The 27,767-nt window shown below is 45.7% G+C and overlaps 2 protein-coding genes across 7 annotated transcripts in view, besides 4 other annotated features; one reads left to right on the plus strand and one right to left on the minus strand.

The window, feature by feature from the left end:
• TIAM2 (TIAM Rac1 associated GEF 2) overlaps positions 1-27,767 on the plus strand; it is a 262,409-nt gene that overhangs the window by 211,049 nt on the left and 23,593 nt on the right. For 3 of the 4 annotated variants that reach the window (NM_012454.4, NM_001384546.1, NM_001384547.1), the window contains one exon: positions 4,841-4,944. In NM_012454.4, the coding sequence (NP_036586.3) occupies positions 4,841-4,944 (104 nt within the window). Of the gene's footprint in view, positions 1-4,840; positions 4,945-10,602; positions 10,728-27,767 lie in introns of those variants that run through there. The other variant, NM_001010927.3, reaches the window with a different exon arrangement.
• Positions 12,018-12,519: an enhancer, noted in NCBI's record as "H3K4me1 hESC enhancer chr6:155539515-155540016 (GRCh37/hg19 assembly coordinates)". NCBI's record gives its function as "activates a minimal SCP1, AML or CMV promoter by ChIP-STARR-seq in primed H9 embryonic stem cells {active_cell/tissue: H9 hESC(primed)}" and the evidence as "EXISTENCE:reporter gene assay evidence [ECO:0000049][PMID:30033119]".
• Positions 12,520-13,019: an enhancer, noted in NCBI's record as "H3K4me1 hESC enhancer chr6:155540017-155540516 (GRCh37/hg19 assembly coordinates)". NCBI's record gives its function as "activates a minimal SCP1, AML or CMV promoter by ChIP-STARR-seq in naive H9 embryonic stem cells {active_cell/tissue: H9 hESC(naive)}" and the evidence as "EXISTENCE:reporter gene assay evidence [ECO:0000049][PMID:30033119]".
• Positions 14,082-14,581: an enhancer, noted in NCBI's record as "H3K4me1 hESC enhancer chr6:155541579-155542078 (GRCh37/hg19 assembly coordinates)". NCBI's record gives its function as "activates a minimal SCP1, AML or CMV promoter by ChIP-STARR-seq in primed H9 embryonic stem cells {active_cell/tissue: H9 hESC(primed)}" and the evidence as "EXISTENCE:reporter gene assay evidence [ECO:0000049][PMID:30033119]".
• Positions 17,391-18,590: an enhancer, noted in NCBI's record as "P300/CBP strongly-dependent group 1 enhancer chr6:155544888-155546087 (GRCh37/hg19 assembly coordinates)". NCBI's record gives its function as "activates an origin of replication core promoter dependent on BRD2, BRD4, P300/CBP, MED14 and CDK7 cofactors, with strong dependence on P300/CBP, by STARR-seq in HCT116 cells {active_cell/tissue: HCT116}" and the evidence as "EXISTENCE:reporter gene assay evidence [ECO:0000049][PMID:35650434]".
• The window catches only part of TFB1M (transcription factor B1, mitochondrial), an 84,614-nt gene continuing 80,354 nt past the window's right edge, over positions 23,508-27,767 (minus strand). The window contains exons 7-9 of one of the 3 annotated variants that reach the window (NR_146725.2): positions 26,827-26,890; positions 24,796-24,969; positions 23,508-24,296 (exon numbers count right to left, since the gene is read on the minus strand). The gene's annotated coding sequence lies outside the window, so the exon portion shown is untranslated. Of the gene's footprint in view, positions 24,297-24,339; positions 26,891-27,767 lie in introns of those variants that run through there. The other 2 variants (XR_007059269.1, XM_047418852.1) reach the window with 2 other exon arrangements.

Consider the following 27,767-nt stretch of genomic DNA (forward strand, 5'->3'; position numbering starts at 1 on the left):
CAGCCTGGGGTACAGGCACCCACCACCAGGCCCGGCTAATTTTTTGTATTTTTAGTAGAGATGGGGTTTCACCATGTTAGCCAGGATGGTCTCGATCTCCTGACCTCGTGATCTGCCCCCCTCAGCCTCCTAAAGTGCTGGGATTACAGGTGTGAACCACTGTGCCCAGCCCACAGCATGTTGATTAAAGGAGAGAGATGGCCGAGCCTGGTCTCGTGATTGCTCTGGCCGTGGCACCTTGTACTTGGTGGATGCACAGTGTCTGGCACCCATGGGAATTAAGGGTAAATAAATTAAATGACACATCCAAATTGAGGGGACCAGACTGTAACTTGGGACATTGCAGCTCTGCTGGCTCAACTGCTGAGTAGAAGCTCTTGTTGGCTGTGCTAAATGTTAGATTTTTTCAAATTGCTAGACCTCTGCCCCAAACTGTTAATTTCCACGAGAAATGTGATGAGAAAGACAAAAGGGTATATTAACCAGATACAAATAGATAACTCTTGACTTGAATTTATAATTGATTTGCAGTCATATTGGCCAGAGGCTTTTTCTGGAGTGAGTCTGAACATCTGTACTGTGCAATGCTGAGTTCAGGGTGGGCAGGAAGCAAGTGCTTATTACTCTCTGATAAGGACAAAGAACCCCTAAAACATGTTGCACTGTATATGTCCTGATGAGGCTCTTCCAGGTGGGAAGCCAGATTTTCGCCTGGGAGGGGCAGGATATACTTACTCCCTTTAGCAGCTGGTGCTCAGGATGTGGGCAGAATATAAGGGGGCTATGTATAGGCATTTGGCACCCAGGACAGGATGCCTGTTTCAAACAGCTTTGTAAATAAGCATTCGGATTTTACCAGCCTCCACTCTTTTTAAAGCCAGTCTTCTATTCTTCCAGAATGTACTTTTATCTCATGTCTCTTCTATAAAGAGCACTAAGGGCACCCTCCTTTTACGGGGATACAGGTCCTGGTGAAATTGGAGGCTCCCAGAGCTGGGGATGGCAGCTGTGGACACTGTCCAGCTCGGATTCTCCTGTGCTCCGTCATGTCCAGGACAGTGTTGGCACATTGCTGGTGGCTGCAGGGACTCTGTATGCACAGATGCATTCCACCTGGGGGAAACTTGGGCAGTAGAACACCGCTGAGATTTCCTGTCTTGGCGGATCTCAGGAACTGTCCACAGCTGCCTTCTCTTCTCAGATCCCCAGGGCCAGCCTCAGTGGGAGCTGGTTCCTTTGGGCCATCCTATCCAAGCCTGTGCCTCAGAGAAAATCCGGTGGCACCCAAAGTTTCCTTGAAGTTAAGGGGCTCTAGGGGGCCTAAGGGAGCCTCACTGATTCAAAGCTAAGCCTTTATCCTGGAGTGAGCAGGGTTCTGACAGGAAGGGGTCAGTATTCTCTTACCAGGTACACGTTGCCCCCTTTCTCATGCTTACCTGAAACGAATCTCTTCTTCCCTAAGTGAATGAGTACCTCCTTGTCTCTTTTATAAGAAGCGAACAGTGGTTCGGGGAGTTTTCAGTGTTTAAGTTCCAAAATCTTTGAAGAGATTGACTCAGATGACTCAGGATTCACTTGGCACCCGCTTTTGACATCAGCCATGCTATATTTTCACTAGCATCCATCTGGCATCTTGGGCTCCAAAGCTCCTTATGCCCTTGCCACAGCTGAGTTCTTGGTGGGACTCAAGGTCTTGTTCATCTTTGTATCCCTAGTACTTAGAACATGCCTGATGTACAGCAGGGGCTGTGAAATCCCCATCATCAGTGAATGTGCATGTGGATCATATGTCCTATTTCCTGTACTTGATGTAACTCTTTGGAAATACCAAGTCTTCTTATTTACAAGGTAAAGGCAGCACTAATGCAAATTTGATTCTGTAACCTAGGTAATGCACTTTTACATTGTATGGCTTCTGTGACATGACTCTTTTTTGACGGCCTTATACTTCTTTTTAAATTCTCTATGAAAAGAAAGGTACCTCTCTTGAGAATCACCCCCTCCTGTACCCTTATGCACTGATGTTTCCATGGTTCTCTCCTCGGTCCTCTTGATGTCATCCACCCCCTTGGCTTCACTGCTATGGAGTGATAGTCTGATGACTTCCAAATCCATGTCTCTGTGAAGGCCTTTCTGGGCTTTGGACTCTGGACTCCCCGACCACTGAAAATCTCCCACTGCATGGCCCACATGTGTCTCAGACTCAGCATTGCAGAAGCTAAGCTTGTTATCCCCACTTCTCCCCTTGCCGCATTCCCCATCTACCCAGTCACCTAGGACATAGAAACCAGGCGTCTCCCTCGATGCCTCTCTTTTCTGTATCTTCTTATATTTAATAAGTGACAAAGAGGGGACCCGTAGAATCTACCTCCTCAAATGCTCAACCATCCCTTTTTTCTGTTGCTCTCTTCTGTGATCTTCTGGTCCTTACACCTTGTACCTGTGATGTCACTGTGACTTTCTTGTCCTCCATCCATCCGTCCATCGAGGACACTCTTCCATCTCTGCCCCACTCTGTGCAGCCACACTCGGCAAGTTCCCTGATGGTGCCCGGCTCCTCCTAGCATTGGCCTTTACTCAGGACACTTCCAGTCCTGGAATCCCCTCTCCCCGCTGCCCACCCCGCCTTGTCATCTTCAGCTTGAAAGTCAAATAAATATTCCTTCGACATAAAGGCTTTGCTCAAGTGTCTGCTCTCCTTTGAAGTGTTTTAAGGGCCCAGGGAGAATTAACTTGCTTCCTGAGTGTCCCCACTCAGCAGCCTGTGGGCTTTCCTCATATCATCTGTGACCCTTGGTTGCACTCATCTCTCTGCCTCCCCCTCCCTCACCAACTGCCTCTCCCCAGATTAGAAGCAGCCCGCGAGAGCATTTCACTCCTTTTTGCATCCCCAGCTCCTAGCACCGTGCCTGGAAAACAGCTGCTACTCAAGAAGTATGTGTTGAGCGCATGAACGGGGAGATACACTTAGGCTGGATACAGTAGGATTGAGGGCTGCTGTTCTTTTGTGACTTACCTAGATTGGTCTCCCTTAAGCCAAGGTATACACATCAGAGAAAGGAGGCAGTCTTAAAGGACAGCAGTGGGTCACTTGTGGTTGAGGGTCTCATCTTACTTCCCGTGCAGTTAGCTTGTTGGTGAGGGGACTGCCTCTGTGTTGTGGCATTAGGGGACTAGAGGAGGCAGGCCCAAGTCTGCTTGCTTGTCATGGCTACTCAAAATTTCCCCAGGGACCCTTCATGCCTTTCGGGTCAGCACTGCCTTCCCTAGGCTAAGTTAACTCTGCAACCAACAACAGTGAGGTATGACCGAGATTATCTGTCTGGTCCTTACCTGGATGAGATTAGGGTGTCGGAAGAGGTAATGGAAGAAAAAAATTGGAGCTGCAGAATTCTGTAGATCATTATATGTTTTCCGGAGGCCTTCCCCTATCTTAGAAGTGAGTGCCTGTGTAGTGGTTGGTAATATCAGCATGAACCAGCTACTGGCATTCTTGTCTCCCAGCTGTCCCAACCTCCAGGGGTTCCCCTAGCTTCTAAAGGTTCTCCAGAAACCATCTTCCCTGCCCCCATCATGCTGGGCAGTTTCTTTGTTTGCAAGTCTATCCAAGCCTCTTGGGCCTAGATCAGCTCAGATTGATTTCTTGTTGTACCTAACTGGGATCAGAAACCATCTGGTTTCACCTAGTTGAGGGGACATTCTATCAAATACAAGAATTACAATGAAAACTTGTGTTATGTTTTGATAGAGGCTGGTCTTTCTGTCTCTATTGGAGAAGAGTGCTGAGGATGGGATGTGTGCTTCCAGTTGTAGGCTGGAAAACTATGTGTTCTACTTATTTCATATTATTTAAATTTTTTAATGTTTTAATTTTTAATTTACTTAAATTTTAAATTTTCATTTTTATTATTTTTATATTTTAATTATTACCCCCTCCCCTTCCTTCCCCTCCTCTTTCTTTTTCTTTCCTTTCTTGATAGGGTCTCATTCTGTCATCCAGGCTGGATTGCAGTGGCACGATTACTGCTCACTGCCGCCTCAAACTCCTGGGCTCAAGCCATCCTCCTGCCTCAGCCGTCCAAGTAGCTGGGATTATAGCCGCATACCACCATGCCTGATTGTGTGTGTGTTTTTTTTTTTCAATTTCTCGTAGAGACACTATGTAGTCTCACTATGTTGCCCAGGGTGGTCTCGAACTCCTGGTCTTAAGTGATTCTCTCGCCTTGGCCTCCCACAGGCCTGAGATTACGGGCATGAGCCACCACACCTGGCCCATATTATTTCTTAGCCTTTACTCTGGAAGTTAATAAGGGTTTACTGATCCTCTTGGGACTTTCAAGTTAGGATGAAATTGTGGTTGATGCCAGCACAAGAAACATGCTTGTAAATGAGCAAGTTGTAGATTGGAATAAGTATAATATTCCATCATTGGTTTCCAAGATTCCCTGGTAATTTTGCCTTCACTTAGCCAAAAACAGGGAAATACCAACAAAGTTGTTGCTGTTTGATTGTAGGTCCAAATAAATTAGTTAAGACCAGAGCTTAGGGGAGCATAGTTCACACAACAACGAGAAGAGTGACAAGGTATTTAGGTCATTATTTTGATTGGTCTCTTTCGACCAAAACAGGCAGATGTTGCCTTTTCAATTAGCAAGACCCTAGATCTGTTTCAGAAGCCCATCTGTATGCGTAATTGTAACCTCAGTGTCATTCAGGACTGCTCTGTACTGCCTCCTAGGTTGTTTTCTTCTTTCCTTTCTCCATGTGAGCCTTTAAACCGGGTGTTATTATTCTCTGCAAATGGCCAAACTCATATATGTTTTTGTCATTTTTTATGCAGATTTCAGCAACGTCCCTGATATCACAACAGGTCTGAAAAGGAGTCAGACAGATGGCACTCTGGATCAGGTTTCCCACAGGGAGAAAATGGAGCAGACATTCAGGGTAAGATACTGGCCCAAATCGCAAACCAAGAACCAGGCAGGCGAGTGTTAGTTCCCACCTTTACCTAAGGTGGGGAAAGGAGATGGAGTTACCTATCTCTAGGTCCAGCAGTTGATACAAACATACATATATATGTTAAGGATACAGCTTCCTTATTTATGTATTTTTTTGAAGTGAAGTACTACTAATCGGAACCATTTGCTCTAGCCAGAACTCCTCCATGACTTCTGGTATGCCATCAAAGAGCAGTGCACACTCTGCTGTTCATATATTGTGCTGGCTTTGCTTAGCAATTTTGACAAGGAAAACCTTGTCAAAAGGTGTTAATTACTAATCTCTTTCTTTCTTACTTTTTTTTTTTTGGCTGAAGATAAATTATTTTTGGAATGTTGTCATTTTGTGTGATAAAACGTATATAACATAAAATATGCCTTTTTTACTATTTTCAAGTGTATGCCTCTCTGTGGCATTAAGTATATTCACATTGGTTTGCAACCACCACCACCATCTAGAACTTTTTCATCATTCCAGACAGAAACTCTGTACCCCTTAAACAATAACTCTCTATTTCCCCTGCTTTCAACTCCCTCATAACTTCTATTCCACTTTCTGTCTCATTTGCCAATTTCTAGGTGCCCCATATATTGGTGGAATCACAATATTTGTCCTTTTGTTTCTGGCTTATTTCACTTAACATATGTCTTCTGGGTTAATCCAGGTTGTGGCATGTGTCAGACTTTCATTCTTTTTTATGGCTGAGTAATATTCCATTATACGGATACACCACATTTTGTTTATTCATTCATCTGTTGATAGACACTTGGATTATTGCTGCTGTTGTGGATAATGCTGGAGTGAATGTTGGTGTAAGAGTTATCTGCGTGAATCCTTGTTTTCAGGCCAAGGAGTGGAATTGCCAGGTCATGTGGTGATTCTCTGTTTAGCTTTTTGAGGAACAGCCCATGGTCTCCCACAATGCTGCACTATTTGACATTCCCAGCGGCAATGCAGGAGGCTTCTACTTCATCCACATCCTTGGCAGCATTTGTTACATTCCATTCCTTTCCTGCATTTTTAACTGTTTGTTGTCAGCTACCCTTTCAGAAATGGTCTGATTGACATAATCTGTGTTAATATCCAGTCCAGTTTTAATCGATTTTGAAATTATAAGTCTTCTGTATTTGTTTTTGTCTTAAATACAAAATAAGAATGGAAGAAATAGAAGCAATGATAGGCATTTAAATGAAAGTTATAAAGTGGAACGATGGCTCGGTTGGGTTTAGACTAACACTATCACAAGATTCTTGGGGTATCACTTCACCAGCCGGAAACCTCTGTGGCCAAGGGTGCTTTTGCCCAAGTTTTGCTCGGGCCCACTAGGCCCACTCGGCCCACTCGACCTGGCAGGCTGTGCTCAACTTGCACTACTGGCCTGCATCCCATGCCTGCCAAGAGTGAGCAGAGTGGTGAGGGGTGTGTCAGTGAGCGCAGTGGTGAAGGGTGTGTCAGTGAGCACGTGTGGGGTCTGGCCACCACACACAGGCAGGAATGCTGGCTGTGGTGGGGCAGGCAGCAGCTGCAGGCTCTAGCACGGGCGCCGGTTCCCTGTGAAGCTACGGCTGGATCACACATATTACAAGCAGTTTCCATGGCCTGCATCAGTACCTGGAAGCTTGGAGATGCCAGGAACCGCTGAGCCCCAAAGAGGGTGGCATAGCCCTGGTTCTGGGAACTCCTAGGTCTGGGCTCCCTGAAGGGCTGCAGCTCTTCTCTCCTCCTCTTTTCTCTCCTTGTCACCTGTAATGTGGCGAGCAAGGGGCGTGTTTTGGCCCTGTTTGTGTTGTAGCTCTTTCAGCCCTGCCGTTAGGCAGGTCCCGAATTCTTGTCCCATGACCAGGAAGAAGGAGGTATGCGGGCAAGGGGAGGGTGAGCAAGGTGAAGAGGAGCTTTATTGAGCTGTAGAACAGCTCAGAGGAAACCCACAGTGGGTAGCTTCTCTCTGCAGGCTGGTTGTCCCATAGAGTGTTCACCTCTCAGCAGAGAGCAGACCCTGGAGTGGGTAGCTCCTCTCCACAGCTGGTAGTACTAATGTCTGCTTAGCTTTAAGCAGAGAGGAGACCCTGGAGTAGCTCCTCTCCTCAGCTGGTTGTCTCATTGTCTCTTTGAGTCTGGCTGAGTCCAGGGCTCAGAGGGGTGGAAATGTGCACTGATTGGTCCATAGTGGCCATGAGCAGACCCAGAAAAAGCTCCATAAGTTCCCACTCTGGTCTGTGGGACTGGCAGCCCAGCCCCCAGACTTCAGGCCTTCCCCGGCTTGAAAGTGGGGCTTTTCTGGGGACCCACTCCTTTCCACCCAGGAGCCTGTCTGCGTCCTGCCACTCTTCCTGGTGCCCAGGCTGTTTGTGCCAAAGGGTGCCTGCAGGCCAGGGCCGAGCTGCCCTCAGTCCCCTCCTTGGCCTGCCTCCCATGCTCATTGGTGCCCAAAGTACAGCAGGGGGCTGGCATGTCAGCGCTGCCCTGAACGTGTCCACACATGGCTGGGTTGCAGCAGTGCCTGGGCTTGGACTCAACTTTGCTCCAAGAGCAGAGCGGGCACCAGGAGTAGGGAGAAACCAGGCAGTGGGAGCAGGCTACTTTCGAGCCTGTGGGGGCAATGGGTCCTTCCTAGGCCCCTGAGAGTGCAGAGATGTCTGGGTCCACAGTCGCGGCTACGTGGCTGCAGCAGTACCCGGGAGGGCGGGGCTCCTTCCTGCTCCTGGCCCCCAAGAACACAGGGATGTCTGGGTCAGAAGCCACGGCTGGGCAGTCACAGCTGTGCCCGAGGAGCACGAGGCTCCCGCCCTGCCACTTCAGGATTGGGTGGGGCTTCCACATTCTCAGCTCCTGCTGGCTCCATGGAACGCACAGCGCTGGCCGTGCCTCCCCCGGTGCAGCCGGCATCATCGCAGTGACTGTTCCAGATGGGCCACCGCTGCCATCAAGACCACCAGGAGCCAGGCACATGGCACATCCTTTGGAGGAACCATGTGGCATACCTTTTGGGGGTTGGTGACATCCCCTGTGTGTGAGGGACCAGGTTAGAGCCTGCCAGCTTCAGAACGGATGCTTCTGGTTCCGAAGCAGCTGGTTTGATGAAGCAGCTATGGGCTCTCAGCCTCCCCTCTCTTCTCCCTTTCACTTCCTCACTACCTGCTCTCTTCTCCCGTTTTCCATGCACCTTCTTCCAAATTTCTCCTCCCTCTCCTCCTCATTCCTCATGCAAAGCAAATGCTCAGCTGCCTTCGCTGGCCTGGTTATGTCCCAGGATGCAAGTTATTTTACAAAACTGAAATTCATCAGCATTTTTAGTCCTTCTACTTTGTTCTATCTCTAGTGGGTTATTTAATTTTGGGAACCCAATATCATATCTAATGTTCATTAGCTTTTTAATGAAGCAGTGGATCCTAGAGCATCAAATAGATGTGTTTTGATAGCCTTGTCTTAAATTATTTTTAAATCTTATTTTAATAATACAATAGATATGGGGTCTCACTATGTTGCTGAGGCTGGTCTCAAACTCCTGGGCTCAAGAGATCCTACTGCCCCGGCCTCCTGAAGTACTGGAATTACAGGTGTGAGTCACTGTGCCTGGCCTGACTTAAAATTTTTTAGAAAATCAAATCCTCCTGAAACACTGATAGAGCAAGGCCATGTATTTAAAAGTTAAGTGTGCCTGTGGGGGCCCTGGCACAGGATGGTAGCTTGGGGGACTCTCACTTAACACCGTGAGGGATAACGACTTCTCGTCTCTTATGATCTGCTTGAGTTACACATCAGAGCTCTTAAGAAGGAAATTGAATTTTTTCCCAAAGTTTATCTTAAGATTCAGCAAAATAGATATGCAAAAAGTTAGCACGTTAAGGCCATTGCCAACTCTGTTATTTAACAATGCCTATGGTAACTAAGCAAAACATTTACAAAGTGAACATTGGAGCATCAGAAATTTAGAAGAGGAGAGAAAGCTGCAATCAGGTTGAAATTGGGGCCGTCTGAGCTTCAATTTTCATTGTTAAAAGTGGAGAAAGGAGAAAGCAAATAATAACATCAACGAACACAGAAGAAAAAATTTTATTGAAAGAATATGAGCATGTTAAGCATTTGCTGTAAAATCCCTCTCAAGTCTAACGTAGTTATCACCTTACCTTTTTAAGATATGAAGATTTCCATGTATAATGATAGATTTCAGTGCATTTTTTAAAATCTTTGGTAAATACCTAGCAGTTACTCAGTTTCCCTGTTCTTTGTTTCTTGGGAAAGAAGAATCAGTGGCCACCAAAAGTAAAAACTGTGGTGGACATTAGTGAAAAGAAAAAGAAAATTTCAAATTTAAGGATCACATTTTTTTTTCTGTTCCGTGGTTTTTTTAAAAAAAAATTTTAAATTTTTTTTTTTTTTTTGGAAACATCGTGTTATATCTAAAGCAATCCTCTTCTGGATTTTTTTTTTATTGTTTTAAATTTTGTTTTATTTTATTTTTTTGAGACAAGTTCTCACCCTGTTGTGCAGCCTGGAGTGCAGTGGTGTGATCTCGACTCACTGCTGCCTTGACCTCCTGGGCTCAAATGATCCTCCCACCTCAGCCTCCTAAGTAGCTGGGACCACAGGTGCCTGCCACCATGCCCGGATAATTTTGTTTATTTTTTGTAGAGACTAGGTCTCACTGTGTTGCCCAGTCTGGTCTCAAACTCCTGGGCTGGAGCAATACTCCCGCCTCAGCCTCCCAATGTGCTGGGATTACAGGTGTGAGTCACCGTACCCAGTCCTCTTCTATTTTTGAAGTGGTGATGTGGGAGGTGTCTGGTGAATGCCTAGTGTGTGCTGGGAGTGGATTTTTTGGGACTCCCCCCGCCCCACCCCCTGTGCCATGTCCTCAGAAGGTGGTCTCTTCTCAGGGAGAAGATCTGCCTCTGTTTTCTGGGCTTCCTGCCCTAGCCCAACTGGTCTTCTCAGGGGTCATTAACTTCTTTTCAGATTAGACCCTGGTTGAACCTGGGCTGTTGGGGATATTTTACTAACAACTATTCTAGACATTAGAATAAAGAATAATTTCCCTTGAAAATCAAATGAAGCCTGGTTTGATGAAGCACAGCTGTACCCAGGGCTTTTGACAGCCCCGCAATTTCTGCAAATGGTTCCTAATTGATTGGCTTCTTCTCTGTAAGGGTGCCTATTACTGTCATAGCTCTTTGTGTGACCCTGTCAGCCTCTCCTGTAGGGGGGGATTTTTTTCCCCAGTATTGTTAGCAATTAGCATGTGCTATTGTAATAGTTTGGAGTTTGAAAGAAATATACAATGTCCCTTTGGGTGAGGAGGTTGAAAGAGTTTTTGGTTTGTTCTGGGAACTTAAGGTATATTAAGCAGTCCCCACAGACATGCTGCCTGCACTCCACCTGCTGAGCTGGCTCTGAGGCTCAGGAGACGTGGCCCTCTGTGGTCCCATTGTCTCCACGTCTGTGGTAACCCGGTGCCTTTCTAGAGCAGGCAGGCTCCCGGCATGGGTGGAAACAGAGCAGGGGGCCAGCTTCCCCCAATCACCGGTGCTGCTGTGGAGGAAGAGCTTGGTGGCGCTAGGACGTCCTTGTGAATGTGACTTGGAAGAGCAGTTTGGGATTTTTTTCATTGCCTGGGGATGAGAGGGAGAGACAACGTGTGTCTTACACATCTCCCAACAGCCGACTTAGATGTGATCCGTTCTCCCAGAGGGAGCAGGTTTCTTTGAACTTTTCCTTTTTATGTACAGCATGTAAGTAAACAAGGGCTTTGATTTTCATGGGTAAAGATTTTGATCCAAATGTAGGCATGCTTGCACGGTTTCCTTTTCTTGATTGAAAGTTGATTTTGCTCTAAAAATGTCTAAAGACTGATATGCAGATGAGAAGAGATGCCTTTCTCCCCAGAAGGGATTCTGACAGTGATCTTTACATGCTTTTTACAGCTAAGGATAAGAGAACTTCTTTTGGATACCCGTTCTGTGGCGCTGTCACTGTTCCTTTCTCATTCCAAAATCTTTAACTTCATCTCCGAAATAGTTCTTTCTTTTTGAAATATAAAGATATCAGAAAGGCCTAGGCAAATATTTACTCTACAAAATATGCTTGAAAAGACAGGGAGGAATAATTTGAATATAGCAATTAATTGTATGCTTGTAAAATTTCCTTGGAGTATAGCACATATTAATACTTATATTGGGTTTAATACTGTAAAAGAAAATTCACAAACATGAAACCCATTTTCTACAAGGTAAGCAGAGTTTTTAATTTAGTTATTCTTGATGAAATAATTTTTCGGCTTTGTGGAAGAATTTTATGTAATCACCTAGTGTCGCTTTGGCAGGGATTATTTTTGCCGTTTGTAGGCGTTGTGTTGATAGAACAGAGAGCATTGAGAATCTGGAGATACACAGCGTGACAACTGTGTGTTGTGCTCTTTGCAATTTAATCTTGTTTAAGATATAATTGATATATTTTGTCCTGTTTATTTTTTCTAGGCAGAAAAAAAAGAACGTGCACTAGTGGCTATGGTTTTTAGTGTACAGCGTGAACAAAACTTGCATTTAGTATTTAATTTCTGCTCACCCACTTGGCTTAACCTTTTGAGTTTTTTTTTGTCACATGAATTGCTTTTAAGAGCTTGCCTATCTAAGAAGCTGAAGGAAAAGAAAAAATTATTGGACCACATGATTTGCTTTCCAGCATTCTTGGAGTTTTCGTCTTCCTTTGGTGTATACTTGCCTGCATTATTGCAAGATCTTTTTGGTTATGTTTTTGTTAGGCAGTCAAGCTAAAAGATAACTTATTTATAAACCGTAGTCTTTCTCCATGGTTGCTATTCAATAGATGAATAGAATCATGATCCTTTTCTTAAAACCAAACATGCCTATTTCTAAATGCAAGTTATGTGACTAAATTCCTATTTTAATGCACGGAGAGATGGCCTCCTCAAGGCAAACGCTTTGTCCCTGAAAAATGGTTTGGGGTGTGGCAGTCTCCAGCAGGAAGACAATAATCTGTCACAAAGACCTAATTCCAGGTAGCCCTTTCTTGGAGGCAGTGGTATGTTGGAAAGAACTCGACCTGATGCTTAAACCTGAATTTGTATTCCCATCCACCATGCCTTATCATTATGTGACCTGGGGCAAGTTACCCAACCTTTGTAAGCCTGTGTGTCCTCCTCTATGAATAAACATAACACCACCACCAACCCAGTGTTGTCAAAGGAATCACGTGAGATTATGTCCAACTAGGAGCACTGGAAGCAGGGGAGAGAGGATTAGGCTGTAAGCTGCCCCTTCCTGGTGCGTCTCCCATGTATACGTGTGTGTGTGAAGGTTTTCCCTGTTGCTCACCTAATGGCCTCTTGAGCTGAGATTCGATGTCAGGTAGGAAACTGAACAAATAGATGAGCACCTCAATAAAATGCTGTTGAAAGTAAGACGTGCATGCTTTGACCATCTCAGCTGCCCACCCGTGTTCTTGACCATCTCAGCCATCCACCCGTGTTCTCGACCATCTCAGCCGCCCACCCGTGTTCTTGACCATCTCAGCCGCCCACCCGTGTTCTTGACCATCTCAGCCGTGTTCTTGACCATCTCAGCCGCCCACCCGTGTTCTTGACCATCTCAGCCGCCCACCCGTGTTCTTGACCATCTCAGCCGTGTTCTTGACCATCTCAGCCGCCCACCCGTGTTCTTGACCATCTCAGCCGCCCACCCGTGTTCTTGACCATCTCAGCTGCCCACCTATATTCTCGAAGTTAGTGTCAGTGGTCAACTTCTCCCGAACCGTCCCATGAGATGAAAATGAACTAGAAACCGAAAGCTGTAAGAATTGGGTCCTCTTTGTTGTCTGCATGGAGACAAAGTCTGCTCACCGTGTAGCTGCTTTTTTTTAATGTATAGTGTTGTAAATGGATGAGCTTTTCCAAAGGGTTGCTTCAAGTGACCAAATAAAAATAGTGTATGTTAGATCTGCCTTTCCCTTTAGCAGGAGTAGGCTGTGAACACCGAGATGCTTAGTGAAGCCTGAGCGGCTCTGCCAGCCGAGGAGGGCTTGCAGACTTTGCCCCTCCTGGAAGAGAGGCGGCAAGGACACAGATCACCAGGGGTCAGAGTTGGGCGGAGTGTGGCACCAGCCCATATGCCTTATTCTGCCTCTCTAACGCCACACTTCCTTGGCAGAGACTTGGAGGCAAGTTTGTGGACTTGTTTGAAATGACTGTGCTGTTTTTGTTGGAGTCTCAAAGGCCATTTGATCTCTTTGTAGTGAGTTGGATTTTTTTTTAAAAAATTTCCTATTTTCCGTGCTCCAGAGTATTTGTGCCCTGCTCTTCTTGGTCTATCCTTGGTCATTAGGGTGGATGTGTCAGGCAGATGCCAACCCCTTGCTGGGTGTGGCAGGAAGACGGTGGCTATAGAAGACATTACTGTGGCATAAAGCACACAGAGACCTGTTCTTTTCTTTGCCAGGGATAACTTACACGCTCTGTTCAACAGGGTTGGCAATGTCACTTACGTGTCAACAGGAAAAACAGGAAAAAAAAAAAGAGTGGTATTGAGAATCCAAAAGACAGCGTTCCAAGCAAGTGGCTGCCTGGAAGGCCCTTTGGCAATGGAGAGCTTGTCCTGTAGAGAGGGATGAACAACAGAGCGTGGCAGGAAGGCAGTGGGAAGAAACTTGCTGGTGACCTTTCTCGCCATTTCTTGCAACTGGCCCTTCCCGTCAGCTGGGCTGATTCCTCCTGCCAAGTGGGTCCTTGGACAGAGGCAAACTAAAAAGTGGGCAGTGGGGCTGTTGGCATGGTCTGTGCTGTGGGCTAACTGGGGCCAAAGAGAAATTGCCAGCAACAGGAAGTTGCCTGATGAGTCCTCAGCTGGCTGTGCCTTTGCCAGGCAGGCTTTTAAAACTCAGACATGGGGTGTTGAGTTATTGAACGAGACTTTGGCTGGGGCTCAGAGTCTGCCTGCAGCTGTGGCAGAGGGCCTGTGTTTTCTCTATTAAACATGGAATACACGTATGTCTAGGAGCAGAGTATCATGCAAGGCAGGGGGACTTGAGCCTGGCGAGGCTGGTCTGGAGGCCTGGCGGGCTGCACAGTAAGAACCCCAGGAGCCCTGGGCCAGCCTGGCCCCACCAGTGCTTGTGTCTCCTGATCCTGATCTGGAAAGTAAGGATGATGGCACCTAGCACACAGTGAGGTTGGAAGGATGCAGGGAGGTCACCAATTGCCCTTCTTCCCCTTTCCTTTCTGTCTTTGGATCACTGAGGCACTTTCGTCAGCACAACTGGCTTCCCAGCCTCTTTTTTTTTGGCAGAGAAGAGTTTAATGAAAAAATAGGGATTTGCATTACAAACTAGGGACAAAAAGAAGACATCGTTTTAAACTTGAAGTTATAGAAAATAATCAAGCGTGTCTTACCTCTTTTTAAAATTATTATTATACTTTAAGTTCTGGGATACATGTGCAGAATGTGCAGGTTTGTTACATAGGTATACATGTGCCACGCTGGTTTGCTGCACCCATCAACCCATCATCTACCTTAGGTATTTCTCCTGACGCTATCCGTCTCCTAGCTCCCCACCTCCACTACAGGCCCCGGTGTGTGATGTTCCCCTCCCTGTGTCCATGGTTCTCATTGTTCAGCTTCCACTTACGAGACATGTGGTGTTTGGTTCTTTCCCCTGCTGTTTTCTGTGCCACAGTACTTTCCTACCTGCCTTCCTCTGTCCCTGCTTTCTTCTTTTCCAGACTTTTCTCTTTCATCTTGTTTTTTTTTTTTTTTGAAAAAAAAAAAAACAAAAAAAAACACAAGTTATTATTCAGAGTCATCTTCAGAATCACAAAATAAAGAAGTAAAAAAGAGAAGTTTTAGAGAGCAGCGCTGTGAGAGCTGCAGTGTGAATCACTGCGCTGGGGTGGGCTGGAGGATCAGGGCCTGTCAGGTGGAATGCTGGCTCTGAAATTAACTTGCTGAAGAGATAATGACACTCCCGTTCCTCATCCTGCTGGGACAGTGATGCACAGGAAAGTGACTTGGAGACTACTCAGAGCTGAGGCCACACAAAGATTTGACTGAGCAGAGATGCTGATCTTCACCTAATGCTTTATTTGCCACGTTTATTTCTGATACAGGCTTCTCCTTTTTCTCTCCATTGAAACAGCGGGTGCCATGGTTTTGCTCTCATCCTGTCTGAGATGACACTTGAAGTGGGATATGTTTGACCTTTTCAAGGCAAACAGAAAGCCAAGTTCAAGGAGTCATCAGCCAGCTCCCTGCAACTTAGGTGGTCGTAAGGGACCTCTTGCCAGAGCTGCTTGAGGTCTCCCCTTTAATTTTGTCCACCTGGATGACAGTGAAGATGGGGTTGAACGGCAAGTGTCCCATGTCTGTCCTCTTTCTTCCATCTTCCCTCTCCATGCCCCTCAGCCCTCTATTTCCAGATCTTTATTTCCTTTCTGGGCTTCTGAATTAGAGATGGAGCTATGGAGACCTTGATATAATTTTGCTTTCTGTGGGAGAAGAAAGCAGGAAGTTTGATTTCTCAGGCCAAACTAGCCTCAGTGTAAATACCATTTGCAGGTTCTTGCCTATTCTTCTTCTTATTTATTTATTTATTTTTGTTTTTTTGAGAGGGAGTCTCACTTTGTTGCCCAGGCTGGAGTGCAGTGGCGCGATCTTGGTTCACTGTAGCCTCTGCCTCCCGGGTTCAAGCAATTCTTATGCCTCAGCCTCCTCAGTACCTGGGACCACAGGTGCACGCCACCATGCCCAGCTAATTTTTGTATTTTTACTAGAGACGGGGTTTCACTATGTTAGCCAGGCTGGTCTCAAACTCCTGACCTCAGGTGATCCACACTCTTCAGCCTCCCAAAGTGTTGGGATTACAGGCGTGAGCCACCACACCCGGCCTGTTCTTGCCTATTCTTTGGGGAAGCCACCTCGACATGGGGTACACTCGGAGTAAGAACACATGGGTTGGGTGGGCGTGGCTCACGCCTGTAGTCCCAGCACTTTGGGAGGTTGAGGCTGGTGGATCACTTGAGGCCAGGAGCTCAAGACCAGCCTGGCCAACATGGTGTGACCCTATCTCTACTAAAAATACAAAAATTAGATAGGCATTGTGGCTCGTTCCTGTAATCCCAGCTACTCGGGAGGCTGAGGCATGAGAACTGCTTAAGCCCAGGAGGCAGAGGTTGCAGTGAGCCAAGACTGCACCACTGTACTCCAACCTGGATGACAGAGCAAGACTCTGTTTCAAAAACAAAAAACAAACAAAAAAAAAAAACACAAAAAAAACCATGGGTTTTTTGCCCTAAGTCTTACACTGAGGAGCCGTTTCTTCATCCTTGGGTAAGTTGTCAAACTTCCCTATCTGTGAAACTCAAGGGTCCGTCTGACCAGCTGTCCTGCCCTGATGTCTCTCCCTGTCTGTCTTTCTGCCTGAATGCCTGATCCAAAGCAGCTTTCTGCTAGATATCCCTTTTTATCCCCATGAATATGGAGAGCTGCTTAGAAGAAGAATCTTAGCAGAACCCTATTAGAATTTGCTTCGGTCGTTTATTGTCCTTCATGCATTTCATTGAAGCTAAAACCTGTAAGATTTTTGGAGGCTTCTCAGGTAATGGTATGCGAAGGTCAGGATGGTTAGATACCGTATTTCCAGATGCTCTCTGCTCTTTTATGCACTTACGTTATTTAGGAACTTATTTCAAGCAGACCATTTGAGAATCTGAGGAAAGCTATGGGTCCCCAGAAGATTGCTTATGCACATACGTTAGAAATTGCAGACAATTCCAGGGAGCTCCCCAGTCTTACGATGTTTATTCACAGCTTTCCCTGTTAGGAATTTATGAACCGTCAGTTTGTGATCCTTACTTTGAGTAAACATCTGAATAGCCTAGCCTGTGTCTTAATATTATTGATATTGCAGAATCAGTTATCAAGTACCTGCAATATGAACAGCACTGTGTTTATATAGTCAAGTGATATTTTGAACTTTGTTTTTATCTTAGTCTAATTGCTTGGGTGAGATTAGCTATTAATGCTTTATTTTTTTAATGTGCTAAGAGATGTTGAGGAACGTTAAATAAATAACAACCCCTAGATGGCAAATAAATTATTAGGTTGAGACCAGAATAGATTATATTGATGATGGTGGTTAGACATCCCCAGATTTTTTTTTCTTTTTTTTTTTTTTTTTACTCTGCACTTCAATGGATGCAAACCCAGGTTGTTAAACACCAATCGCAGCATTACGTGCTGGGATGTTTTGGCATTTTGAAAGTTTTATTTTCTATCATTAGTGAACAAAATGGGTTTTTTTTTGGAGTAAGAATTTTAACATTTTGATCCCAAACCAAACTTTTATGGATCTCTTTAGTAAAATAAATAGCTGTCTGATGGACTAGGAGGGGTGTTTTTTATGCTCAGCGTAAGGGACGCTCAGGTGGCTGTGGCTCCTGTGTTCCCCGGCAAGGGCGTTGCCAGTGAATTTCACCCTTCCCCTTTCCATGTCAGCAAATTAGCTAAGCCCTTGTTGTCGTTCGCCCTTTTTCTTTTAAAGAAGTAATAGGCACAATTACTATCTAATTTTGGCTTGCCACTGTGTGGGTGCCTGGAATCTCATCCGATCTTTAATATTTACCCAGGGGGGTGGGTGTAGTGTCGCATTATTCATTCACTCATTAAATCCCCTTCACCGAGGCCTGCTCAGATGCTTGCCATTGTTCAAAGTTCTGAAATCGTCACCTGGCTGCCTTCTGTCAATATTCTTGCGTAGAGATTGTAGTCCAATGAAAACCTTGTACTGAGTGAAAGAAGATGTGTTTGAGTTTCAAGGCATTTTCTGTGCCTTTCATGACTCATAGCAGATTCTCACCTTGTGATAAAGTTCCGGCTCCACAGTGGTGGCTGCTTTTGCTTTTGCAAAAGTAAGTTGTGAGAAATTGTTCTGAGTCATTTTGCAATTTCCTCTATAGACTCAGCTAAGAGTAGATGTGTGTGTCATGAGTAGATGTGTCTGGAGTTGAGGGAGGAGGGGTCATGGAAAAACTCTGCCTGGAAGTGCTTCATCCAGGTACACATGATGGTATTTTCACCATCTCAAACACTAGCTTCTAACTGCTGAAGGTTAAGATGGGATCATTCGTTTTGTAAATCCGTCTCCTGCTGTCTTGATAATAACATGAAGAAAAGGGCAAGAAAAACATGGATGTGTCATTAGTATGGAAGGAAGGAGGAGAATGGAGGTTTGTTTTAAAGGCACCCCCAATTCTCTTTCCCTCTTTCATCCTTTCGTTGGTTCTTGCCCCTTCCACACCCCGACTGTGTTTGTTCAGCCTCCAGCGCATGCTGCCGCCTCTGCTATTCACCTGCCTTTGCGCTCTCTCATTCTTTGCTGCCACCTGAGTCCTCTGGTGTTTTCAGAAAACAGCTGGCAGAGGAGGAGGCTCTGAGATGTGCAGTTGCTTAGAAGGTTCTGGCCTGGCATCTGCACAGCGGGGATTTCATCACCAACTGCTCAGAAACCACAAATGCTGCATGCCTGGAGGAGTCCTGCCATCTTCCTACCTTGCATGCCACTCTCAGCTGGTTTTGGGATTTTCTATTTATTTGTTTGTTTGTTTGTTTGAGATGGGTCTCGCTCTGTCACCCAAGCTGGAGTGAAATGGTGCGATCTTGGCTGACTGCAACCTTTGCCTTCCAGGTTCAAGCAGTTCTCCCACCTCAGCCTCGCATGTAGCTGGGATTACAGGCATGCACAACTGCACACAGCTAATTTTTGTATTTTTGGTAGAGATGGGGTTTTGACATGTTGTCCAGGCTTGTCTCGAACTCCTGACTTCAGATGATCCACCCACCTCGGCCTCCCAAAGTGCTGGGATTACAGGCATGAGCCAATGCACTCAGCTGGGATTTTTAAGAGTTTATTCCCTTCTTGGTTCATTCAGGCATAGATAAAGGGCAGTCTGAGGGCCCGGGTGACACACCCATCAGGACAGGTTGGTGCTCTGCCTTCCTCTCATTTGAGCACCGAGGTCTTGAATTTGGGGCTTATACAGATGAGTTACCAAGATGGGGAAAGGTGGACCATCAAGCAGTAATACAACGTGAGGCTTACAGGTAACTTCTAAGTGTGGGGCTTTAAAGAAAGTCTCTGTTCACATTCTGTCACCCTCACTCTGTCTCTTCCATCTTTTTCTTGCCTGAGTGTCCTGGTTCTGCTGCCTTCTCTAGATCCCCAGCTCTTCTCACCACCAGGGATACCTGGCTTTGGTTCCCATGTATTTATTGATTTCTATTTTTAAGAAGTTTGATCAAAACTGTCAAGTTATTTATTGAAAATGATAGTTGTCTTAGTTTAAATCTTATTCCATTTCTGTTAGAAGTCAGTGTAGATTATAGAGTGGTAAAGTCTCAGATAAATACTTATATAAATAAAGATAGGTATTGTTCCATATAAGATTATCATTATTTTGAGAACCTGTTGATGAGGGTGCCAGATGTGACTGTTGCATTACTCAAATCCAGCAAAAAACACTGAACAAAAACCATAATTAAAGGGGCACACAGGGTATCTGTGCTCACTTTAAGGCAAGTAGCCCTTGGCAGTACCCCTGCTTAATTAAGGTTGCCAGGATATTAACATGTAATTGATGTTTTATATACTTATAACTTTCCTCCCAGAAGCTACAATTTTTTTGAAACCAGATTCCAAGCATTGTTTTAAGCCAATATTAGAAGAGAAAGTGTAGGGCTTTCTAAGCATGAAGAGGATGTGATTTCAGACGAAATCATAGCACCTGGACCCTGTCTCCCTGCCCCCATCCCATTCTTCATAAGCGATGAAAAGCATCTTTGATCCATGAAACCTGAAAAAGCAGCCATCAGTAGAAGTAAGTGTGACGGCTGAAGGTGTCATAAGATACTAATGTACCAGTGGGGAATGGGATGCAAGGCTGCTCAGCCTCAGTAGCCCCCTTGGCTGGCTGAGCATCTTTGTGGGCTCCGCTTTTAAGTGGAAACAAAAGATTGCTGATGGTAGGTTGGGTGTGGTGGCTCACGCCTGTAATCCCAGTACTTTGGGAGGCCGAGGCAGGTGGATCACTTGAGGTCAGGAGTTTGAGACCAGCCTGACCAACATGGTGAAACCCCATCTCTACTAAAAAAAATTAGCTGGGTATGGTGGTGCACGCCTGTAATCCCAGCTACTCAGGAGCCTGAGGCAGGAGAATCACTTGAACCCAGGAGGCGGAGGTTGCAGTGAGCAGAGATCGTGCCACTGCACTCCAGCCTGAGCAACAAGAGTGAAACTGCATCTCGGGTGGGGGCGGGGGGCAGGGAAGAAAAAAAGATTGCAGATGGTGAAATTTAAATGCTTAAAAAAATCTTTAAGAACTCATAATTTGCCTGCAACAAATTCAGGTGGTGACATAGTCCCTTTCATTCCCCCAAGTCAGAGCCCGTGCCCCTGTGTGTCTGTCCCCATCAGTGAAACTGGGGCTTGGTTTCTTCTGGAGAAGAATAATCCAGGGCAAGTCAAGCTGTTTGTTTTGCGCCCCTGTCTCTGTTGCTGAGTTGCTGTCACCTTGAGTTGGCTCTGACTGTCCCGTGGCGAAGGCCATCCCAAACAGCACATTTGCAGTATGTGCTCGGAGAGTGGGATACATAAGAAACAGGAGAGTTAACTAGAAGGATTTTCCCTCCTGCTCTACTAAGTTGGAAAGGAAAGTAGATGTTTGTCTCTTAATTTGCTGTTGCACAAAGTGAAAAGATACTTGGACCAGAATTGCTGGAGCTTTCCATGCACTCACAGTGGGCTTTGGAAAAATCATTCACTCCCTTGAATCCTTATTTGTTAAGAAAGTGGGATTCCATTTCCACAACTGTTTCATGGCTGTGAGGTGAAATAAAGACTAGGCATGCGGAATGGCTTTGTAAACTGCAGGGGTGCTGAGTCAGTCTGCGGAGACTTAGCCCATGGCGAATACAATGTGTTTTAAATACATCACTTCATTTAAACCCGTTTTCCCCACAACCCTATTGAACAGATATTACCAGCCCCATTTAGCATGAGAAAACTCAAATTCAGAGATGTCAACTAGCAGGCCAGTGTGTCCTAGGCAGTGACTGTACCACGGATCGCGCCCAGCCCTGCCAGCTTCTAAAGCACTTCTTCCCATGACACCACACTGCCTCGTAAGGAGAATATGGCACTGCGTGTAGAAGAAAGGGGAGAAAACTGTATTTAAGTATCAGACTCATGGCATATGGGTGTATTTACTCTTCAATTGATTTAAAGGTAGAGCGACTGTATTTGTGAAATTGCAAGGTACGATGTTAGAAATCTGGACACGACTTTTTGGTTCTTTAGCTTAATTTACAAAGTTGGTTACACCCCCGTCGACAAGAGGAATCTGTGAGGATATAGAGATCCAAGGCTTATGTTCCAAAAGCAGGTAGACTGTGACAGCTGGAGAGAGCCAGCAGAGGATGCAGCCTCCTCAGCAGTCTAGAAGCACATCTAAGATGCCCAAGGAGTGTCGGCAAGGAACTGGAATGGGCGCAACCGAATTATTTTCTGAGCATCTTAGAACTATTATCAGAGCAGAGTGCTTGGTCTGTACCTGGGAGCCAGGTGCTGCTCTATTTTTTGTTTCGTTTTCTAGGTTAAGGCAGCCGGGAACCCACATGGATTACAACTAGAAAGAAAATCAATTTCTAGGGAGCCAGAGAAAGGGAGGAAGGGCTTAGTGAAGGGAGAGTCTGGGCTCAGGTAGTTGGGCAGAGCTGTCCTAAGCAAAGCTGGGTGGACACAGCCTGAACTGCTAAGCCTAAGTATGTGGGATCTCCCCCTTCGAGTATGCGACTGAATTTTGTCCTCAGTTTTCTGTAGGATAGACTTTACCTGCCCAGGAAATTGGTGGCTAACGGAGATTTGTCAGAGCTCTAGTCTGTCAAGAATTTGGTTATAGTTGCTGTTATTGACACATTTTGTCTTCAAATAAAGTGATAAAGATAATCTTTTTGGCGCTTTATTGTCCAATCATGAATATATAAAAAGAAAAAAGTCTCAACTCAATACGGTCTCAGAGTATGTAACACTGAAGACCTTTCCTGGCTGGGCATGATGGCTCATGTCTGTTATCCCAAAACTTGGAGAGGCTGTTAATCAGAAGCAAAGCCATATCTTTCTTTCCGGGTGAAAAATGGGTTAGAGAAAATGCAGTTCCTGGCAGAGGAGGCATACATTAGACAGATTAGCCTTAAGGGTAGCATTGAAACTCCCAGAATTTTATGTGAAAGAGGTGGCTGGTTGTGTAGAAATGCTGCCCTGGCCCTTGAAACTTCCTTGGCAGAGAGAACATCTTATTCATTCCTGAATTCCGACCAAACTCCTGTTAAATAAGGAAACCGAGCAGAAGGCAGGCAGCGAGGACACACAAGCCCGACGCTCCTCCTGTTCCCACCGCTCTGGCACCAGCTGCTCAGTTGCTCCGTCCTGGGGAGCAGGGGTCCTCCCTGTGACTCTGGTCTGGGAAGCCCCACAGCAGTGACCATGGCGCTTCCTCTCTCCAGCATGCAGCTCTGACCTGCCTTCCTGGGCATGCCCCCTAGGCACTCAGGATTTGCCACTTGGGACATGCACATGCTCTCTGCCTTCTCAGGAAAGTATGTCCGCATTTCCTCCAGACAGCGGGTGGCCACTGCCCACCTCCTCCCTCTCTGACCATGACTGGTGCTGCTCATTCCAGCCCTGGCCTTCTGCACGCCTCCCCTCGTTGTTACTCTTCCCATAGCCCTCGCCACTTTATTGAGATACTGAGTTTTGTTGTCACTGTGCCTGTTGCCTCTTTCTGCCTTTTATCCCTACACCCAGAACAGAGCCTGGCAGACAGGAGGTGCCCAGTAAGAAACTGCTGATGAGATGAATTTGACTGTTCTTGCCCTTCCTTTGGGGCACTCGGGAAATTTATTCTTCCATACTTGTAAAAATAGAAGAACTTGAGACATTGAATGCCCTGTGCAAATTATAACTTTCATTGAGCCCTGGCCTTTGTGGAATCCTTGTACTATGCTAAGTATTTTTACACTGAATGCTCTTGACCACCCTTTAAATGTGACCCCTGCTTTTATAGGCAAGTAAACTAAGTCATGGAGCAGTTAGCCATGATCACACAGCTGGTCATGGCCATGGCCAAGAAAGGTTTGTTATAACTCCAGAGCCTGTGTGCCTAAGTCTCCTGTCTTGAAAGAAGTAATTGTTGAAGAAAAGCTTAGTCTCAAGCACATTCTGAGGCCCTTGGTGTGAGTTTCACACTTACAGTGGGATTGTGAAAGGGGGCAGAGCCCAGGTGTATTAATTCATTTTCATACCACTGTGAAGAAATACCCGAGACTGGGTAATATATAAAGAAAAAGAAGTTTAATGGACTCACAGTTCCACATGACTGGGGAGGCCTCACAATCATGGGGGAGGGTGAAGGAGGAGCAAAGTCACATCTTACATGGCGGCAGGCAAGAGAGCGTGTGCAGGGGAACTGCCCTTTATAAAACCATCAGATCTCGTGAGACTTATTCACTATCACGAGTACAGCATGGGAGAAACCCACCCCCATGATTCAATTACCTCCCACTGGGTCCCTCCCATGACACATGGGAATCATTACAATTCAAGGTGAGATTTGGGTGGGGACACAGAGCCAAACCATATCACCAGGTGACACCTGTACCACCGAGAGTACAAATCCACCACATAGCCCATCATGCTGTCACCTGTAAGCTGTGTGTCCAGTAGGCAACAGGGGCTGCTGAACTCACCTCCAGGTGGGTCTCCTCCACCCACTCCTGCTCTCCCCTGAGCTCGTCTCCTTCACAGAAAGTTCACCACCTCATGCCCCTCGTCTTTGTGGTGTCCACAGTTCCTAACTCGCACCTGCCAGACCCTGCCTCTCTGTCCTGCCTTGGGCCACAGTTACACTGGCCTTCAATTCCTGACACACTCTGTGCTTCCCCCAGCCCCAAGCTGTGCACAGTTTAGCTGACTTTAACCCTGGCTCCAGTGTTAGCTGTTCCTGTCCTTGCTTCAACCAGAGTAGCTCTCTCTGTTGTGTTTCCGTAGGACCCCCCACTTTCGGCACTGGTCACCTTTGAATGACTTGCTTAAAGCTTGTCTTCCCAGCCAGACTCAAGGAGTGATTTGTTCATCAAAGTGTCTTTATGGAAGCAGAATGTCTTATCAGGCCTTTTCTGCCTCAAATAATTTTTTTTAAGTGGTAGGAAAAGATTCCATTAAAAATTGTAAAAATTCAACCGCTATAAAAAAATGAGAAAACTCAGATAAGCCAAAAGATTAAAATAACTTGAAAGGCAGTGTTAACCACTGCATTTATTATACATGTAGTTCAATTTTATAAAAATCTATGCATACATATTTATATAAGTAAATATACATAAAATTACTTTTAAATTACTTTAAAATGGCAGAGCTACTTTTTTTTTTTTTTTGAGATGGAGTCTCGCTCTGTCACCCAGGCTGGAGTACAGTGGAACGATCTTGGCTCACTGCAACCTCTGCCTCCCGGGTTCAAGCAGTCCTCCCAACTCAGGTCCTGAGTAGCTGGGATTACAGGTGTGTGCCACCAAGCCTGGCTAATTTTTTTTTTTTTTGTATTTTTAGTAGAGATGGGGTTTCACCATGTTGGCCAGGCTGGTCTCAGACTCCTGACATCAAGTGATCCGCCCACCTTGGCCTCCCAGAGTGCTGGGATTATAGGCGTGAGCCACTGCACCCGGCCCTACTTTCTTCCCTTACCAGTAAATCACGTCCTTCTCTTCTGGTCAGCAGATGTTGGTCTCTGGCATCACTGGCAGCTGCTGCATATGGCTCCTCTTCATACTGCAATTTCTTTAGGTGACTGTTTACTTTCACAGTTTATGTTCTCATTCTGCCCAGGAAATAGAACCTTTGGAAATGGAACTGTCTAGTCTAGAAGACAAATAATATGGGGCTCTTTGGAGCAGCATTTCTTCCTCCTTTTTGTACCATTTTGATAAATATAAAAATTTCATACAATTTCCCTGGAGTATTTAGTGTATCACTATAAAATGAATGGTTTGTCCTCAACTTTAAATGTCTCTAGTCATCTTGAACCTGTTTTTTAACTCCCACCACACCCTGCCAAGGGGCTGACGTGCTGCCCTTTTCCTTCTCCACTCCACGGAGCATGCCGGTCCAGGAGAAACTGGATGTGGTGTTGCCCTCTATCAGCCTGTGGGCCCTGCCAGCTTCCCCCCAAGCACTAAATAGAGTTCAGCCCTGAAATCCTGACCTGGCTGCAGTGGGGTAGCCCAGGGTAGCTGCAGCTGGATGTGCAGACCAGGAGCCCCTTGTTCCCACTGTGCAGTCCAGATGTGCAGGATCCACCTCCACTCAAGAGCATCATCTGTGTTGGGCATGGTGGCTTGCGCCTGTAATCCCAGTATTTTGGGAGGACGTGGCAGGTGGATCACCTGAGGTCAGGAGTTTGAGATCAGCCTGACCAACATGATGAAACTGAAACCCTGTCTCTACTAAAAATACAAAGATTAGCCAGGCTTGGTGGCACGCACCTGTAATCCCAGCTACGTGGGAGGCTGAGGCAGGAGAATTGCTTGAACCTGGGAGGCAGACATTGCACTGAGCCGAGATCGTGCCACTGCACTCCCGCCTGGGTGATAGAGTGAGACTCTGTCTCAAAAACAAAAACAAAAACAAAAAAAAACAAAAACTGGGGAAGTAGTCATTCAGCCCTCTGTGGTCCTTCCAGATTCCATCCTTGCCAGTGATATTTGGGGATAATACTAGATCTTTCTGTAAGTTAGACAGTGACTTTTACGAAGTTCAGAGTGAGTTGAGAAAAAGTCCTTCGTGCAATTTTTAGTGTTTTTTTTTTCCCGTTTTCCTAAAGGGAACTTTTCTGACTTAATGAATTTGCTTGAATATGACAGCTGACAGTGTCATTGCGCTCTGAGATTATTTAGTAGTGCAGCCTCCCCATGCCTTCCAGACAATGAACTGGGAATATTGTAAGTGCTCAGTGTATGAGAACGCAAACCATATAAACCACACCCTTTCTGGGGCTTGACTTTCCTTAAGGATAACTGACCGTTTGTCCCAGGCCTAAATGTATTTTGTATTTTTTCTAGCATTCTATTTCGGTGCAGGAGGAGCAGCAGAACCCTAGTTCTTCTGACTGATGTCCTGGTTTGGGGAAACTCTGAGGACATGAGACTTGGATTCAGTCCAGGCTGATGGCTCAGCACAGAGTGGGTCAGGATTCAGTCCAGGCCTATGGCTCAACACAGAGTGGGTCGGCATGCGGAGGGAGAGGGATCTCCCGCCAGGGATCTGCCGAAAGATCATACTGCAAAGTGACGGGACCAGCTCACCGAACAGCGTGGCAGTCTCTTTCCTAGTAGCTTTCTATGTTGGTTACGTCTGTTACGGATCCTCCCCCAACATACTTTTCCTCTAAAGCAGGAATTGAAATGTAGTACACACTGCAAATGCTGTCCTTCATCCTTGTTTCTGTATGCCACATTACCCCAAATTACGCAGCACTTTTAAACCTTTTTTCTTAGACTGAAAGTGTTTTCTGAGCCCAAGCAACACAAACAGGTGCCTTTGACAAGAGTTTGCAGTACCCAGAATCCCTAAATGAGGCCACAGCTGCACCCTGAGCCAGGAAAGGCGGGCACGTAGCTCAGCTTCTGATGCAGTGGACTCCTGCCACGTATTTCATGCAGTAGCTACAAAATTTCAGGCATAGTCTTGAAATAGTTCTGGGTAATGTGATGTACCTACCCCGTAGTAGTTTAAAGATTCCAAAACGCACAGGAAAGTTGAAAGGCCTCAGGCTGTGATGTCTCTGAATAAGACAAAAGAGAATATCAAAGTTGTTGTGATCAAGGGAACAGATTTCACAAACTGTCATCAAGAGGAGGCCATCATGGTATTTTTCTAATGAAAAGTATTGCACTGAACCCAGGTTAGAAGGTTCATCTGAGTGACTCAGAGCTTGGTTTGACAAAGACTCTGTCCTTCAAAGACCGTCAAAGAGGGTCTGGGCGAGCTGCTTGATCGTCCTAAGCAGTTTTCTTGCCACTCCTAAGAAATGGGTTTATGGGCTCCTTGAAAATAGACAAGAAAATGTCCTTATCCATACATTAAAACACAAATAACTGCTTAGACGTCTGCCTGAATTCAGAGCTCTTGAGTGGGATGCTCCTCATCTATAAATAAGATAAAATCATTTTCAAGCAGGGATCAACCTTAGTATAACATTAAAAACCTGAACTAAAGGCCCGGCATGGTGGCTCACGCCTATAATCCCAGCAGTTTGGTGGGAGGATCGCTGGAGTTCAGGAGTTTGAGACCAGCCTGGGCAACATAGTGAGACCCTCCCTTCTCTACTAAAAATCAAAAGAATTAGCTGGGTATGGTGGCATGCGCCTGGAGTTCCAGCTGCTTAGGAGGCTGAGGTGGGAGGGTTGCTTAATTTCAGGAGTTTGAGGCTGCAGTGAGCTATGATTGTACCACAGCACTCCAGCCTGGGTGGCAGAGTGAGACCCTGTCTCAAAAAAACAAAACAAAAACAATTTGAGAGAAAATTTTTTTTGGGGGGGGGTTGGGGTTCAATATCATTGCTTTTCCAGATAGCATAATTTTTGGAAAAAATGTTTTTATTTAATCTTTTTATGACTTCTTAAAGAAAATATTGGTTTCATGCTCTTTTATGAAAGCTG

Source organism: Homo sapiens, chromosome 6 (genome assembly GCF_000001405.40).
Source record: "Homo sapiens chromosome 6, GRCh38.p14 Primary Assembly".
NCBI classification, from domain to species: Eukaryota; Metazoa; Chordata; class Mammalia; order Primates; family Hominidae; genus Homo; species Homo sapiens.